The 16,806-nt window shown below is 41.5% G+C and overlaps 1 protein-coding gene across 13 annotated transcripts in view, besides 1 other annotated feature; it reads right to left on the bottom strand.

Annotated features, from left to right (window-relative positions):
* The window catches only part of ATP8A2 (ATPase phospholipid transporting 8A2), a 653,878-nt gene that overhangs the window by 473,319 nt on the left and 163,753 nt on the right, over nt 1-16,806 (bottom strand). For all 13 annotated transcript variants that reach the window (NM_016529.6, NM_001411005.1, NM_001411006.1 and 10 more), the window contains 5 exons: nt 14,472-14,545; nt 12,145-12,214; nt 10,487-10,614; nt 9,131-9,242; nt 1,030-1,195 (listed from right to left, as the gene is read on the bottom strand). In NM_016529.6, coding sequence (NP_057613.4) covers nt 1,030-1,195; nt 9,131-9,242; nt 10,487-10,614; nt 12,145-12,214; nt 14,472-14,545 — 550 coding nt within the window. The remainder of the gene's footprint in view (nt 1-1,029; nt 1,196-9,130; nt 9,243-10,486; nt 10,615-12,144; nt 12,215-14,471; nt 14,546-16,806) is intronic.
* Nucleotides 7,548-8,079: an enhancer, noted in NCBI's record as "NANOG hESC enhancer chr13:26118592-26119123 (GRCh37/hg19 assembly coordinates)". NCBI's record gives its function as "activates a minimal SCP1, AML or CMV promoter by ChIP-STARR-seq in naive H9 embryonic stem cells {active_cell/tissue: H9 hESC(naive)}" and the evidence as "EXISTENCE:reporter gene assay evidence [ECO:0000049][PMID:30033119]".

Genomic DNA, 16,806 nt, shown 5'->3' with positions numbered 1-16,806 from the left:
TCTACAGGATTTATAAAAGATAGTATAATTATATATTCCCAATTTTAAAAAAGCAATTGCTAAAAGCATCATAAAATTGCATTGTTGAACTTATATACAGATGTAATATATATGACAGTGCAAAGGAGTGAGGAGAGAATGAAGATACATGAAGCAAAGAAATGACACCAGCTGTTAAATCCAAAGGAAGAAATGAAGAGCGAGACCTGGAAATGGTAAGTAAATATGTTAATATAAAACAACCCTGGCCAGGCGTGGTGACTCACACCTGTAATCCCAGCACTTCAGGAGGCCGAGGCGGGTAGATTGCCTGAGGTCAGGAGTTCGAGGCTAGCCTGTCCAACATGGTGAAATCCCGTCTCTACTAAATATACAAAAATTAGCCAGGCATGTTAGCACATACCTGTAGTCCCAGCTACTCAGGAGGCTGAGGCAGGAGAATTGCTTGAACCCAGGAGGTGGAGGGTGCAGTGAGCCGAGATCACACCACTGCACTCCAGCCTGGGCGACAGAGCAAGACTCCGTCTCAAAACAACAACAACAAAAAACACTATCAATATACTTTTTTTCTTTTTTCCTTTAGCTTCTTTAAGAGACACAAATTATTATAACACTATTTTGGAGTTGACAACACAGATAAATGGAATATAACAATGACAGCACCAAGCAGGAGAGGAAATGGAGGTACGCTGGAGTGACATTTCTGTGTTTGACTAGAATTGTTAGTATTAATCAAAAGTAGATTTGGATAAATTGGGAAATACATTGTAATTCCTAGGGCAACCACTAAGAAAATACTTTAACACAGAGTTTAAAAATAACCATTTGAGTATAAGACAAGTCCCAAATGTGCCCATCTTCATTTCATCACATGATCCTAATCTCAATTCTCCTTGAAAGGCTGGCATTATGTACAGTAACCAAAGGGAACAGAAGGACAGCAGGGACACCACACTTCAACCATGGCTGCAAGAACATCTCAAAAATGGTTTTCTTCCACTGGAACAAGCAACCCACCCCGACACTTACCCATCTTCTTGATGTACCAGTTCTTTTCACCATGAGACCTGTTCCAGTACAGGGCCCCCGCCGAGCTCACCAAGGCCATGACCAAGAGGATGCCAAACAACACCAGGATCTGCACGTTAGTCACCTTCTCAACATTTGATCTCTTGAGAGGCGCTTTGGTTGAATTCTACACAACAGCATTGAAAGTCAGTAAGGGTCACAGAACAGATTTGGGGCAAGGGGTTGGGGGAAAGGAGGTAAAACAACCATATTTAACAACCAACAAGTAAAAGACTATTTTTTTGCCAAATAATCAATGCAATTCAAAAGTGTACCATGCTCCTGAATCAATAGCTAGTTTTAAGTAATGAAGAAAGACAACATACTCTACCAGTTTAAAGAACACATTCCAACATTACATGATTCATTCTGTACTTCTTATGATTATATCTTAGCATATAATTGTCACTTTCCTTATCTTAGAACACAACAGGTTCTAAATATAGTCCAGTTTCAAAGAAATCAGAACACTGGTAATTCAAGAGAAACTTAGACATTCCATACCATAAAAATCTAGAGAAGACCTTCACGATAATAGCACAGCTCTGCAATAAATACACAGAGATATTTCTAAAGCACATATTTTTCCTCCCGGAGCTCAGAATTTGAGGAATAAAAAAGACATACACAAACACATACATATCAATAATGCAAAACAGAACATTAGAGGGTTTCAAAATAAGTGGATGGACAAAAAGTTCACTTGGAGAACTGGGAACAAGAAGCAGGACCAAGAAGAGTCAGGAAGGGCCTGGACAGGAGAAAGCTGAGTGGCATCCTGAATGATGTAGACAGCAAAGGAGAAACGGAAGGAGAATGGCAACCTTATCACAGGCTTAGCACCTGCCTTCTCACTGCTGGGGGGAAACCAGCCCAGGTGGAGCTGAGGCCAGTGTTGGCAGGAGAGTATAGAAAGATTCATTAAGGCTAGATTCAAGAATCACTCCAGTTCAGGTGGAACATTTGGGACTAGATCCTCTCAGCCATGGGAAAGTCAACACAACTGTTTGAGAAAGACAGTTATGCACCTGAAGTCATTTTATTAAAAAATATCTGAAGGTACTTATGGTGGGCAAACTAATGACCACCCCCTCCTCCACCAGTAATGCCCACATCCTACTTGTGGGGCACTGCGAGTATGTTATTTTATTTTATTTTTTGAGATGGAGTCTCACTCTCTCACCCAGGCTGGAGTCCAGTGGTGTGACCTCAGCTCACTGCAACCTCCGCCTCCTGGGTTCAAGCAATTCTTGTGCCTCGCCTCCCAAGTAGCTGGGACTACAGGCGCCCACCATCACGCCCGACTAATTTTTTGTATTTTTAGTAGAGATGGGGTTTCACCATATTGGCCAGGCTGGTGTCGAACTCCTGACCTCAGGTGATCCACCCTCCTCGGCCTCCCCAAGTGCTGGGATTACAGGCATGAGCCACCATGCCTGACCTGAGTGTGCTATTTTATACAGCAAAAGGGACTTTGCGGATGGGATTAAATTAAATTAACAACTGTGAGACAGGGAGAGATTATTCTGGATTACCCAAGTGGACCCAATCTAACCACAAGGGTCATCAAAAGGGAGAAGCTTTCTGAATTGTGCTCAAAGGGAGAGGTGGAGACAGAGAAATGATCAGAGAGAGTCCCCTCTGAAGCCTGCAGAAAAGAGCAGCCAACATCTCGGGTTTTAGCACAGGGAGTCTACTACTCATAGTAGACTTCTCACCTATAGAACTGCAGCACAATAACTCATGTTTTTTTAAGTCACTAAAACTGTGGAAATCTGTCACAGCAGCCAGAGGAAACCAGTACAGTAATAACAGCAGGTTGGGGAAGGAGACACTGAAGAGAGGAAAGCCACAGGGGAATTATTTATAATCCATTCCTGGGGGTGAAATAATTCCTGACTTAAATCAGAAGTCAGGAATTGGACAGGGAGAGGCTCACACAGGAGTGTCAGCCTGCAGGTCTCCTTCCATGAATCATGGGCCCAGGCTTTTTTTTTTTTTTTTTGAGACAGAGTCTCACCGTGTTGCCCAGGCTGGAGTGCAGTGGTGCGATCTCGGCTCACTGCAACCTCTGCCTCCCCGGTTCAAGTGATTCTCCTGCCTCAACCTCCCAAGTAGCTGGGATTACAAGTGTGCGCCACCATGCCCGACTAATTTTTTTGTATTTTTAGTAGAAATGGGGTTTCACCATGTTAGCCAGGATGGTCTCAATCTCCTGACCTTGTCATCTGCCCGTCTTGGCCTCCCAAAGTGGTGGGATTACAGGCATGAGCCACCGCGCCCGGCCGGGCCCGGACTTTTAAGAGACAACACCAATTTGCCAAGTTTGGATAATCTGAGAGTTTGTAAGGCACTAACCATAAAAATGGTACCTTGTGCCAAACTTAAGTCAGCATTCTCCTTCACTAGTCTCCATTGATCTGATCATTAAAAGAGCTAGGATGAAAATGTCTCCAAAGATAAGAATACAAATAAAGTCACAATGTGAAAATAAAACTGAGATGAAAACATGAGGCAATTCACTCCTAAGCTCCAAGAAAAATTTATACCACATCACTGAAATTGTTATTTGAATTCTATTGGCAAACCAAAAATACTATCTCCCCACAGTTTTCTTTGGGGGCAGAGGAGTTGGGGGATTGTACTGGTGATTTTGAAAAGCTAAGTCCTTTAAATATCTAAACAACACAGCAGCTTTTTCCTTTATTTCTATTTTTTCCCTTTTACTTTATTTGTCTAAATTATTCATCCTTTACGGACTTAAAAATCCTCAGGAGTCTAAATGGAAATCCATTAGTAAAGGCCAACTTATCATCAATCAAATACTGTATCAAGGTCAACTGAGACGACACATCCAGGTCTGGCCTCAACGTAAGGGCCAGCAGGCCAGGTCCAGGACTGGTCATCCTAACTCTTAAAAACTAAGCAAGATCTCATCATTCTTAATAAATATTCACTAAATGTACAGGCAGGAAAAAAATTATCATAAACCTCATTTCTATACCCCATTTATTATTGACTTTTTATCTTTTTCAGTGGCTGAATTCTGGCCAATTAGGAGGATTAGAAAACTTTATCTTTCATCTAACAGAAGAGGAACAATCCCAAAACTTCAAGCTTCAACATGTGCACTTTGTGGAAAGCCAACCTTGGCCTACTGACTCCCACCCCCTGAACATTTTTACTTGCAATGATCAATGATGGGTTTTCTTTTGTTTTGTTTGTTTGTTTGTTTTTTGGAGACAGAGTCTTACTCTGTCACCTGGGCTGGAGTGCAGTGGCGTGATCATGGATCACTGCAACCTCTGCCTCCCAGGTTCAAGCGATTCTTCTGCCTCAGCCTCCATAGTAGCTGGAACCACAGGTGCATACCACCACGCCCAGCTAATTTTTTGTATTTTTAGTAGAGACAGGGGTCTCACCATGTTGCCCAGGGTGGTCTTGAACTCCTGAGGTCAGGCAATCTGCCCACCTCCGCCTCCCAATGTGCTAGGATTACAGGTGTGAGCCACCGCACCTGGCCCAATGATGAGCTTTTAATGTTAAATTCCTACAAGTATTATAAATTCTTCCATAAAATTCTTGAAGAACCCAGCTACTTCAGTGTAACGGACTTATAAATAGAAACAGGTCAAAATGTCAGATTTTGAAAAGCTGAAATCAGACCTGTATCTTAGATATTTTATTCCCTCCTGAGAAACAGGCCATTGAATTCTAGTTAGAAAAGCTGTCCCCAACCTTTTTGGCACCAGGTACTGGTTTCGTGGAAGACAATTTTTCCACAGACTTGGGTGGGGATGGTTTTGGGGTGACTCAAGTGCATTACATTTATTGTGTACTTTAATTCTATTACTCTTACATTGTAGTGTGTAGTGAAATAATTATACAACTCACCATAATGTAGAATCAGTGGGAGCCCTGAGCTTGTCTTCCTGCAACTAGACAGTCCCATCTGCAGGTGATGGGAGACAGTGACAGATCACTGGGCATTAGATTCTCATAAGGAATGAGCAACCTAGATCCCTTGTATGCGCAGTTCACAACAGAGTTCACGCTCCTATGAGAATCTAATGCCACCGCTGATTGACAGGAGGCAGAGCTCAGGCAGTAATGTGAGGGATGGGGAGCTGCTGTAAATACAGATGAAGCTTCACTAGCTTGCTTGCCACTCTCCTCCTGCTGTAGGGCCTGGTTCTTCACAGCCACAGACTGGTACCAGTCTGTGGCTTGGGGCTTGGGGACTCCTGGGTTACACTGACTCTGGAGTTTGACTGCTTGTGTTTTGTTTATTTTATTTGTTTATTTTTTATTTTTATTTATTTATTTATTTATTTCGAGACGGAGCCTGGCTCTGTCACCCAGGCTGGAGGGCAGCAGCACAATCTTGGCTCGCTGCAACCTCTGCCTCCTGGGTTCAGGCAATTCTCCTGCCTCAGCCTCCTGAGTAGCTGGGATTACAGGCATGCACCACCATGCCCAGCTAATTTTTGTATTTTTAGTAGAGATGGGGTTTCACCATGTTGGCCAGGCTGGTCTCGAACTCCTGACCTCAAGTGATCCACCCGCCTCAGCCTCCCAAAGTGCTGGGATTGCAGGCGTGAGCCACTGCCCCCGGCCAGACTGCCTGTGTTTTGAATCCTACTAGTTTTGTAAGCTTGGGTTACTAGGAGACTCTATGCTGCAAGCCTCCTCATCTGTAAAATGAGCACATACTACCTAGCCATTGTGAGGAATAAATGAATTGATATATGTGCATCACTCAAAATAGTGCATGATTTGTTGTAATTATGTTCGCTGTAATTAGTGTGATAATCGCTCTTTTTCCCATTAAATCAACTAATAGAAATTATAGACATAAATATTTCTACATGTAAGTAAACTAAACATGAACTGAAGGAAACTTGAAGGGCAAAAGGCATTGAGGTGAGAGACTTCAAAAAAAAAAAAAAAGGTAGAAGAACCCGACAGCAATTGAGTTTCCTCTCTGTGGTCAAGTAGCACAAGCACAGACAAACAATGTTATTTCACAAACAGGATGGCTTCCAGCTATGTGTGTTATATTCCTTTTGAAAGCTCATTATTTTTACCTGTTGTTTCAGCCCTAAAGGCACAGCAGGTCTAGCACAGATGTTTCTGGGGTTTTCCATCATTCTATACATGAGCAGTCAACATGCAAGAAGCCTTGCAAAGAGGTTTCTCACACCTAGGGACAAGGAAAAGTGCCTCTCACACTCACAAAATGCAAACTCAGTGCATGCCTTACTCACTGAAGAGAAGACTGGAGCGTTTTAAAAGATAGTTTAATTAACTCATGTAATATTGGTTTTCTAGAGCAAAAGCTATATTACCAATGTATGCTCTAGAAAAACCATATTACAATCTGTTAAAAAAAAAACCCAGTGTATAAGAAATATTGGAAAGTGCTTAAATTTATAATATGCACAATCTTAAAACTAGCTTTGGGGCCTTGACCAAATGTGAGCTAGCTACCCATGATCTGTCTGCCACTTCATCATAAAAAACAGAAGTAGGCTGGGAACTGTGGCTCATGCCTGTAATCCCAACACTTTGGGAAGCCAAGGTGGGTGGATCGCTTGAGTTCAGAAGTTCAAGACCAGCCTGGGCAACATGGTGAAATCCCGTCTCTACAAAAAATACAAAAATTAGCCGGGCATGGTGGTGTGTGCCTACAGTCCCAGCTACTCAGTAGGCTGAGGTGGGAGGATGGCTTGAGCCTGGGAGGCTGAGGTTGCAGTGAGCCAAGATCGCGCCACCACACTCCAGCCTGGGCAACAAAGCCAGACCCTGTCTCAAAAAACAAACAAACAAACAAAAGCCAGAAGTAGTGATTTGTGGTTAGTGGAGCTCCCAAAGCGTGCAGCAAGGGTTACTGACACTGCACTATGGGAGTTAAAGGATACTTTCTAGGTAGCAGGGTACTAAACTATTTTTTTTTTTGAAATGGGGTCTCACTATGTCACCCAGGCTGGTCTCAAACTCCTGGTCCCAATGAGCCACCCATCTCAGCCTCCTGAGTTCTTGCATGGCTACAGCACTAAACTATTCATCAAGATAAAGTCTTCATATGCAGGCCGCTCAGAAACAATAAACTTAAAGCATTCCAGTCAGCCCTTGTGAATGGATAAGGACCTAGCAGGGGCGATGGATCAGGCACACTTCAGATACACTAAATAATCCTGATCCACCCAAGAGCTGCCTCTCAGCATTCACCAACTCTTCATTTTTCTAGCTGCCATGGAGCCCTCCCGCCTTGCTTCAACACACAAGCTCTGCAACAGGCCACTGCACCTGGGCCCCTACCCTTCCAGCTCCTGAACTTCCCTCTGTACTCCCACTCCCTCAAGAGCTCTCTCCTCCTTGCCTCACAAGTCAAGGACACGCCTCCCTTGAGTACCCCCAAGCAGACGGTGCGCCAGTAGACATCTGCATCCTTTGGCCTCTGAAGGTAGCATTACTGGATGTATATTCAAGACCTAGTAATACTTCTAGACCTTTATTCCTTGGATGCCATGTTAAAAAAAAAAAAAAAAAAACTCACTCATAAAATTCACGCCATTTGGCTACACTACCTTCTGCCCCTCCCCCGTAGCCAGGCCACACCTCTCAGTTGCTCCCTGTCACTCACAGAAGACTTGACAACTGGCTCATGGCATTCCTTTCTGGCCCAGCTTCATCATTATCGCATCTTCAAAATCACAGCACTGGCCCATCAAATGCCTTAGTCTCTCAGTTCCTTACTTGTCAACATTGAATGGCCTTCAACAGCTCTGCCTTTGTCTTCCTACTCACACGAGTCACTCCCAGGTCTCCCATGCTAGAAACTCTCTACCCCAGAAATACAAAGACAAGATTCTACCCACTGATCAGCCTGTCACTCAGCAACTCCAACAATCCTCTTCAACTTCAGGGAGTCTCTCAACCCTTCTAATCCCATCTCTCCTCCCTGTCTCCAATGTGTTTACTAGCTGCGGTGGCCACCAACGTCTACTGCTTCATCTCCTCTAATACTTACCTCTTTCATCTGACTATCATTTGACCTCAAAGAGGAGACCAACACAACAGTCTCCCTTCCCTAGCTCGATATCTAAAATGTGCTTCTGCCACGGGAATCATTCTTAGCATGTAGTCCACTGGCTTCCAGCCTAGGTTGAATGACCCTCCTATACACACTGACAGCACTTAGTAATGACACACATTCCAGTATCTCTCTCTCTACTTTGTCATTCTATATTACTCCTTAGCCCAACTGGCTCCCCGAGGATAAGCCTGGGCCTTTCACTATTGCACCCATATGGTCTAGCACTAGACTTGGTACGTGGTCACTAAATATTTTTAAATCAAGAAATACAGCCAAATGTGCATTTTAGAAGTTATACAAAAGAACAGACAAGCTGAAAAGCCAATTCTCATTAATAGCCACCATTGGCAAAAATAAGATGCCAAGTGATACCAAACAAATGTAAGAAATGACATACAGGGACACTGATTTCTGTAGAATTTCAAAAGGTGTCTGGCAAAATACATCATAATAGCAATGTGACCTATAAATTCACAAACAGTTTTTTAAAAAACATTAACAGGGAAAAAGAGCAAAATCATTTTAACTTCATTTTTTTCTTCGGTCTATGAAAACTAAACGGTTCAAAAATAACTGATTTTAAAGTCTCTAAAGTTCAGTTAAATAAGGCAATTTGCTATAAAATCCTAATTAATGGGATAAAGAGGAGAAGTAGAAAGAGAAATTTAAAAGTTAGAACTAATTCCCGCTTAAGTCCAGAAGATAAAATAAGTTAGAATTGATTGTTCCCCTAATCCAGAAAACAAAGACCATTTGTAGTTCAGGCATACGGTAACAAATATCAGATAAGAGAACAGAAATCTAGAAAAAGCTACCTAAGAAACTAAAATAAAGGCAGTTCTTTCCAAATTTAGGTTCATAGACAAATTTGAACTTCCTAAATGCAACATCTGCATTTTCCACCTTCTAGTCAATAAAAGCAGAAAGAAAAAAAAGACTGAAATCAGCATAGAAATGTTTTACCTGCATGAGTTTGGTGTCGTGTCCAGTATAAACAACTATGCCAAAGACCCACTGAGTATTTCTAAGCTGTGTACCTCTTAATAAGATCTGGTCAGGCCCAAGGGCAACAAGGCTAAAAATAAAAAACAACAATGATATTTAATGATAGTCTGGAAAATAAGCATGAGTTTTTCCCTTAAACATGAACCCACAATAAATCAAATGTTCCCTTTCCTCCAATTTGAACTACTTCACTGAGAAACACAGACAACAAAGGTTACCATTGGCTTAATCTACCCCAAAAGGACCCACAGAAAGCTTTATTTTACATTCATCACTACAGAAAAAAAATGCTTTTTCTATAAAATGTTGCAGGTAATTATATCTCTCATGATCCTGTTATGAAACTCAATACCCAGAAAGGAAGTTGCTAAAATAACAACCAAAGCTTACTCATTTGTAGTTAAGTATTATTATTGGAAGTATTATTATTATTATTTGTAAAATAAATCTAGTGTATTTTACAGACTATTAGGAAGGAGTAAAATTTTAAAAAGCAGCAACCTATCATATCAATTTTTTTAAGGATGACTTAATGAGTAAATAAAGACCTGAGTGACAATTTAGAAACTCAGAATGGGGAGCCCATAGTATAGCTATGTATGCTAAATGAAACCAAGAAGCAGTCACACTTAGTTGTCATATTTATAATAATTTGGGTTGATTCCTATGATCAGGTCCTTCCAAGCCTTGGGTCGTCAAAATATAAAGGACATTGCAAGAGGCTGGGTTACAGGGTTGGAGGGGGCATTGGCAAGAGGCTCTAGACAAACATGGCCAGAAGGTAGAAACTGCTCTCCAACATCAGAACAAAAGACAACTCCAGAACAACATAACAAATGCCAGAAGAACAAAGATAACAGAATATAGACAGGAGGGCACTGAATATTCTAAAGGAAGAATAAGTGTTCATTTCACTCAACTTTCTAAAAACAAATGAACGCTCCTTAGAAGGTGGTTAGCAAAAAAAAAAAAAAAATACACATACACACATTTCTGTAACAAGTGTATTAGCTTGTATACACCTCAGATAACTCTCCTCTGCTTTTCTGGACAATTTTATGCAGCTAAAACCATTTCTCCTGCCTGGCAGAGAGTAGGCACAGAAAGAATATGCCACATGCTTTGAGCCTCATCTGAGGCCCTTGGGCTCAGGGTTTTTTTCTTAAATCTAAGGAAGGCTTTAAATTAATTGAAAGGGTATGAAATCTCACTGTTTTAAAATATTACAAAACTAGGAAACAAACATATTTTCCAAAGCTCCAGTAATTCTTAGTCACATAGTTTAAAAGACAATGAAGAAAAGGCATATAATACCTTTTCCCATCTAAGTTCAAGTTTCCAGTGAAGTCATAGAGGTGGCGGTTGGGCCCTTCACACTCTATAGTTCCAGATAACTTCATCAGAACTTCACGTGTTTGCATGTCAGCAGTGTGACTCAAACCCTAAAAGATTAAACCAAAAGAGGAAGTCAAACACAATCTTCTGTGCTTAGGGACACCATTCAGCATCCCTATGGTTAATCAAAAGGAAAAATAAGGCATCTCCAGTGCAATAATTTGGGGGGCTAACAAGTCAAACTGTCAGCCCCTCAAGGCAGACTTTTCCAGTAGCTTTTGCCACAACGATCTAATGCAAAAGTGGCAAAAGAATGTAATGAAGCTGAAAGTTAAGATTCCACCACTGTACTAGAAACATCCGTGCATAAGTAATAATTAACATACCCCAGCACCTTACAGCAAGCATAATCTACTAGCTGTACTCTAACACTGGTCATAAAGATAGAATAGAGTAGCCCTCCAATATTTTACATTATCTAGCACTCTTCACTTTTTCTTTAAGAGACAGGGTCTCACTCTGTCCTCCAGGCTGGAGGGCAGTGGTGCAATCATGGTTCACTGAAGGCTCAAAATCCTGAGCTCAAGTGATCCTCCCACCTCAGCCTCCTAAGTAGCTGGGACTACAGGTATGTGCCATCATGCCCAGCTATTTTTTAAGTTTTTTGTAGAGATAGGGTCTTGCTATGTTGCCCAGGCTGTAACTGTTCTTTAAATGGAAAAAAAAAGTCTAAAGCAAATATCTACAGTAGAAAAGAAAGATATATGGATAGAATTGCTGAATTCAACTTTAAGCAGCAAAAGTTTTTTAAGCTTCAAAGTGCTTAAAATTTTTATATGTTAAAGACCATTCTTCATTCTTGGCCAGGTGCAGTATCTCATGCCTGTAATCCCAGCACTTTGGGAGGCCAAAGCAAGCAGATCACTTGAGTTCAGGGGTTCGAGACCAGCCTGGCCAACATGGTGAAACCCCATCTCTACTAAAAAAATATAAAAATTAAGCCAGGTGTAGTAGCATGCACCTGTAGTCCCAGCTACTCGGGAGGCTAAGGTGGGAGAATCGCTTGAACCCGGGAGGCAGAGGTTGTAGTAAGCCGAGGTCGCATCACTGCACTCCAGCCTGGGCAACAGAGCAAGGCTCCATCTCAAAAAAAAAAAAAGAACCAAAAAAGACTATTCTTCATCCTAGAATTAAAATATATGGTAAGAATAGTTTTCTTTAAGGCATGGAAGTTTTTTATCTAATTATATCACCCTCTAGGATTAGAATCTTTATTACAACAATGATGTAAACTGGGGTACCTGGAGCTTTTCTGCTCCATTTGTCCACTAAGCTGTGTCCTTCCCAGCCACTCAGCTTCATCGAGATGTCCCCTCTCTCCAGCATCACAGGCAGAGAACTCAATAAGACGCTATATGAAGGCCTGGCACCCTGCATGACCTAGAGTTTGATGCAGCCTACTTTTTCGAGACACATTCTCTCTCATCATAAATGGCATATTCTTCCCATAGATTCCATTAGGGCTAAGGCATAACCCTTTGTGGCTGAATATTTTATTTCTCTAGAAAAAGATATGTGGGGACCACATTTGCAGTTGTGTCTACCATAACAACACAAGTCATCAGAGGTGACTTTACCTGACGTATTTTAAGGTTCGTCTCCCCATCCAGATTAGCTGTTTCAACATAACACATTGCCTGAGGTTCACTAAGGAGAGAGAAAAAAAGAGCCAAGTTTCATAAGGTCCTTTCCACAAATTCACAGTTTAGAAAATCTCTATTATGGAATCTGTGTCTGCTGATTGGCCCTTCAAAATAAATTGTTATAAATAACCACGATAGTAGGAGTAATGGATGAAAAAGGAAACACACACTCATCTTTGGGACTCAGTACCAGTAGAGAGTCATTTGCCCAGATGATCTGCCTTTGTAAGCCCCACATAATGACTGCTGAGCCTCAAGAAGACAGGAATGAACTGAAGATGAAAGAGAAAGGGAAACATGTGATGTCCCCAGTCAGACCCAACCACTGGGTTCAGGCAATCCTTCAAGTCTGGGGCTGGGCCTGACCAAAAAGGCTGCCCAAGGCATGGCCAGTAGAAACACACATTTTTTGAAGAAAACAACAGCCAGAGGAGTTGAAGGATCGAGGCACAGGCTTGGCAAGGCTTTAATTCTCTGCCATTTTTACATCTCGAGTCCAACTTTTTAATCAAAACACCTAGCATTAAAGATAGAAAACTCGAAAAATAAAAATAAGCATAACAGATATTATAATCCTATTTCTAATCTTTGAGTTTAGCTAGGTTCACACAGTTAGTGATTAACCACCCCTTGACTCTTCCAACTAAAAAACCACTAGTTAAGGTAAAAATCCCCTAGCACTACCTTTATGGGCTATATGGCCTTGGCAAATTGTTTAGTCTCTCCGTATCTCAATCTTGTCATGTACAAAAGAAGGCTATCCAGGGTTATTGGGAAGATTAAGTGGGACAACCTCCTCAACAGGTTGTTCAGCACACAGCACACACTCAGACACTAATAATGAGCATGCTGGAAACATGATGTCAGCTAAAGCAATCTGGTATTAAGACCAAGTTAAAAAAAAAAAACTGGCTGGGCACTGTGGCTCACGCTTGTAACCCCAGCACTTTGAGATGCCAAGGCGGGAGGATTGCTTGAGGCCAGGAGTTCCAGAACAAGCTTGGGCAACATCTACAAAAAATTTTTAAAAATGAGCCTCTACAAAAAAATTTTTAAAAATTAGCCAGGCATGGTGGCATGCACCTGTGGTCCCAGCTACTCAGGAGGCTGAGATGGGAGGATCACTTGAGCCCAGGAGTTTGAACTTACAGTGAGCTATGATTGAGCCACTGCACTCCAGCCTGGGTGACAGAGTAAGACCTTGTCTCCAAAACAAAACAAAACACACACACACACACACACACACACACACACACACACACTAAATTTTCTAAGGTCACAGCCAAGACTTAAAGACTTAAAGCCCGAACTATCAAGTGATCAATATTTTAATATTTCTAACGGTTTCTTTGTTGTCAATCAATATGGACAAACATAAATCCTGCCCTGTGTTATTGGTTCTTTTTCCCCCTCCACAGGCCTGGAGTCCTATTTTTAAATCTATTATCTCAAGCAGAAAATTAATGCTTAGGCTTAAAATCCAATGAGTGATTAACTTCAATACAAGAAACGCTGTCTGCAATCAAAGAAAATGCAAACAGCATGCCGATCTATGATTCCCAACAGTGTATAAATATAGGAAGTTATAGTCCTAACGTCACACAATTTAATCTTGAATTCAAGAATAGATGTCAATTCTTGCCCTAATTTTGGCTTTCTTTCCTAGCTATGTACTTTCATGCACCAAGCCCCAAAAAAGTCAAGAACTGCACTGAGTGATGATTCCTTCCTAGAATAAAACTACCTAGAGAATATGAAAATGATACTTGGACAGAAAAGGGGCAAAACATGGATGGATGAAGAGCAAACACCATCTGCTGGTCACGATTACGCTGAGAAAACACCCACGGTTCTTGAACAGCTATCAATGTGCAGCACTGGGTTCTGCAGGACAGACTGCTGGCAGGGCCCATCAGGAAACAGATTCTGAAATCTCAGATATGCTGCAACCTGACATTAATGAATGGACCACTCCACTGCTCTTGACTCAGTGCCCCTATAAATAAGAAAAAAACCCCAAATAGCCAGGAGACTAAGTGGAGTCAACACACATAAAAGAGTTCAGAAAAAGCACAAAGGAATGAATGTGAGAAAGAAACCAAGGGTCATGGCAGGAGAAGGGAAATGACAAGAAATGGAAGAATGGGACAGAGAGAGGATGGTAGAAGGGAACAGGCTGCTCAAGACTGCCCCAGGTGCTGCTTAATATTTTATTGTTCTTAACATTTATTGCAAAAAAGGTGCCTACTAGCACAGCTAACCTGGATGACAGCAGGACCACATCTGCTGGAAGATACTGCCCATTGACGACCTTCACAATGTCTCCCACTGCCACCTAGAGAGACAGGGATGAGGACAGAGGGGCACGAAAGAAAAGAAACAAAACACACATGGTGAAAAAGGTGCTTAAATATTTGAAGAAAAAATTATTATATAACTAAGCCATGAAGTTTAAGATAGAGAAGCCCAAATTATTTTCCTTGACAAGAACAAAAGGAAAGTGCTTCCATGCAGACACTGGTAATGTTGCCTTTTTTTGCAATGATGTTTAATAAAAAAGGAAAGGGAAAGGGAGAAAAGGGCTAAGTCAGAACAGCTATAAAGATCTCGTTTTCTTACAATTATGCATCCATTTACAAATACTTCAGCATTTCCATAGCTGTATACAGTAGGGTAGAACGGTCACGCACACACCACCAGAGCCAGCCTAAAGCCTGGGCTCAATCCCCACTGCACCCCTGATGAGCTGTGTAATGATGAACAAGTTATATAAACTCTGTGTGCCTCAGTTTCCTCATCTATATAATGAGGATAAAGGCACATATTTCATAGAGTGACTACAAGGATCAACTAAGTTAACACACATAAATTTTTCTCTGTTTTATAAATTTTTCTCTGTTTTACAAATTGAGGTGCAGAAAACAAAATAACTTGATCACAGTAATACAGCCACTGAGTGTTAGAACCAGGATTCAAAACTGGGCAAGCTGCACGGAAGGCCAATGCTCTGATTAAAAGGCAACAGTAAATTCACCCATGAAAAGTGCACCTGAAAGTCCCCCTGGAAATATACCACATAAAATGGAGAAGATTTGTACAGCCTCAAGAAATTCCCAGAAAAAGGATCACGGCCAAAGTCAGAGACCACCTTGGGGAACAGACTCCACTAGACAGAAGATCTCAAGCCAAGGAAAAGGGCTGTAGTCTCCAAAATGGTACCATGGCGAAGTGTCTACCAATCCTTTCAGTAACATCGCAGAAAGCACTAGGGTAGAGAGAACAGGGGCTTTCAAATCAGGCAAGCCTAACTCCAATCCTAGCTTTATAGCCGTGTGCTAGCTTTGTGATCTCCGCAAGCTGCTTCACCTCCCAGCGCCCCAGCGTGTCATGTCTGAAACAGGAAAACAGTGCCACCGGCCTTGTAAGGTGAATGCAGTGACTAAGGAAGTATACACGGCACCTGGCATAAAACAGGTCCATATAAATGTCAGTCTCCATCAGTGGGAGCATAACTGAAAGGACATCATGAGTGTGAAGGTCAAGGACATTAGAATTCTCTGACGATACCAGAAGACCATTACTAGTACAGTAATAGTTGCAAAGCTCAAAGTGGGCATTTATGCTTTCTATTTCCTATTCTAGCCATGTTACTATTCTCTTAGAAACCAGGAATTTCAAGTGATACGAAACTTGTGAAAAACTGCCAGATCTTACAAGCTAGCAGGTGCCCATGTTTAATTTTCTGTTGGGAAAAAGGCAAATTTACTGAAAGGTATCCTATTGGTGCTTTAAGTTGTTTATTAAAGTGTCTGGGGAAAATGCCACAAAGCTGTTTTAACAACCACCAGTACAAAAGCAATGGATGTTATGTCAATTGAAAGTGTTTTTTAAAAGTAAAAAATATTTTGGCCAGGCACAGTGGCTCACGCCTATAATCCCAACACTTTGGGAGGCCGAAGCAGGCAGATCACTTGAGGTCAGGAGTTTAAGACCAGCCTGGCTAACATGGTGAAACCCCCATCTCACTAAAAAAAAAAAAAAAAATTAACCGGGCATGGTGGTGGGCACCTGTAGTCCCAGCTACTTGGGAGGCTGAGGCAGGAGAATCGCTTGAACCCAGGAGGCAGAGGTTGCAGTGAGCCAAGACGGCACCACTGCACTCCAGCCTGAGCAACAGAGCGAGACTCCGTCTAAAAAGAATAAAATAAAATTAAAACGATTTCATATGAATAGTTTAATTACATATAAAAATCAGAAGAAGTAATTAGTAAAGAAAAAACCACTAGACAAGAAAATTTGTCATGTTTTCAAATGAAAAAAGGCAGTGGATTTTTTTAAATTCAAAGTGGGAGGATAAGAGAAATTATGGCTTTCTCTCATCTTTACTCTCTAAATAAACATTCATATTCCAGTAACCAAGTACTAAGAAGTTTTGTGTACATAAGAAATGACTTACTTGGATTTTGCTTGAAAAAAAATTTTTTTTTGGTTGTTTGTTTTCTGTTTTTGAGACAGGGTCTCGCTCTGTCACCCAGGCTAGAGTGCAGTGGTGCGATCAAGGCTCACTGCAACCTCCACCTCCCATGCTCAAGTGAT

The sequence above is a fragment of the Homo sapiens genome, chromosome 13, assembly GCF_000001405.40.
Source record: "Homo sapiens chromosome 13, GRCh38.p14 Primary Assembly".
Lineage (NCBI taxonomy): Eukaryota > Metazoa > Chordata > Mammalia > Primates > Hominidae > Homo > Homo sapiens.
The sequence above is the reverse complement of the archived record's forward strand: the minus strand, read 5'-3'. Positions and strand labels throughout refer to the sequence as shown.